The sequence below is a fragment of the Homo sapiens genome, chromosome 15 (assembly GCF_000001405.40).
Source record: "Homo sapiens chromosome 15, GRCh38.p14 Primary Assembly".
NCBI classification, from domain to species: domain Eukaryota; kingdom Metazoa; phylum Chordata; class Mammalia; order Primates; family Hominidae; genus Homo; species Homo sapiens.
In genome coordinates, this window is record NC_000015.10 from 89,030,832 (window position 1) to 89,032,371 (window position 1,540).

General features: G+C 56.4%; 1 annotated feature.

The window, feature by feature from the left end:
* Window positions 791-1,292: an enhancer, noted in NCBI's record as "H3K4me1 hESC enhancer chr15:89574853-89575354 (GRCh37/hg19 assembly coordinates)". NCBI's record gives its function as "activates a minimal SCP1, AML or CMV promoter by ChIP-STARR-seq in naive H9 embryonic stem cells {active_cell/tissue: H9 hESC(naive)}" and the evidence as "EXISTENCE:reporter gene assay evidence [ECO:0000049][PMID:30033119]".

Here is a 1,540-nt window from a genome sequence, read left to right on the forward strand (position 1 = left end):
TTGGTGAAAAATAAACTCTTGTTTTAAGCTCCTGGGACTTGGGTTGTTTGTTACTGCAGCATAATCCTGTGCCCGGAATTGGAGGATTCTTAGTCTCACGGACTTCAACAATGAAGCTGCAGACCCTCGCGGTGAGTGTTACAGTTCTTAAAAGCGGCGTGTCTGGAGTTTGTTCCTTCTGATATTGGGATGTGTTTGGAGTTTCTTCCTTCTGATGGGTTCGTGGTCCCGCTGGTTTCAGGAGTGAAGCTGCAGGCCTTCCTGGGGAGTGTCACAGCTCATAAAGGCAGTGTAGACCCAAACAGTGAGCAGTAGCAAGATTTATTACAAAGAGCGAAAGAAGAACGAAACCACATCGCAAAACGGAACTCCAGCCGGTTTGCCACTACTGCCTCGGGCAGCCTGCTTTTATTCTCTTATCTGGCCCCACCCACATCCTGCTGATTGGTCCATTTTACAGAGAGTGGATTGGTCCATTTTACAGAGAGCTGATTGGTCCGTTTTGACAGGGTGCTGATTGGTGCGTTTACAATCCCTGAGCTAGACACAAAAGTTTTCCACCTCCCCACTAGATTAGCTAGATACAGAGTGTGGACACAAAGGTTCTCCAAGTCCCCACCAGAGTAGCTAGATACAGAGTGTCCATTGGTGCATTCACAAACCCTGAGCTAGACACAGGGTGCTGATTGGTGTGTTTACAAACCTTGAGCTAGATACAGAGTGCCGATTGGTGTATTTACAATCCTTTAGCTAGACATAAAGGTTCTCCAAGTCCCCACCAGACTCAGGAGCTCAGCTGGCTTCACCCAGTGGATCCCGCACCGGGGCCGCAGGTGGAGCTGCCTGCCAGTCCCACGCCGTGCCCCCGCCCTCTTCAGCCCTTGGGGGGTCGATGGGACTGGGCACCCGTGGAGCAGGGGTGGCGCTCATAGGGGAGGCTCCGGCCGTGCAGGAGCCCTCAGCGGATCCGGGGAGGCTCAGGCATGGCGGGCTGCAGGTCCCGAGCCCTACCCCACGGGAAGGCAGCTAAGGCCCGGCGAGAAATTGATCACAGCAGCTGCTGGCCCAGGTGCTAAGCCCCTCACTGCCCGGGGCCGGCGGGGCCGGCCGCTACGAGTGTGGGGCCCGCCGAGCCCATGCCCACCCGGAACTCGCGCTGGCCTGCAAGCACCGCGGGCAGCCCTGGTTCTCGCCCGCGCCTCTCCCTCCACACCTCCCTGCAAGCTGAGGGAGCCGGCTGCGGCCTTGGCCAGCCCAGAAAGGGGCTCCCACAGCGCAGTGGCGGGCTGAAGGGCTCCTCAAGCGCGGCCAGAGTGGGCGCCGAGGCCGAGGAGGCACCAAGAGCGAGCGAGGGCTGTGAGGGCTGCCATCATGCTGTCACCTCTCAATCCTAGCCTACTCTGATTAATACGGGGTATAATCAACTAAATAAAACAAGAGAGAATCTTTCGGTGACCAGTGATGCTGAGGAGTGTGACTAATTTAAACTCATGCATCTGAGCTGGCTCCTGCCTCTCTCACCCCAAATGAGATGGAGAAA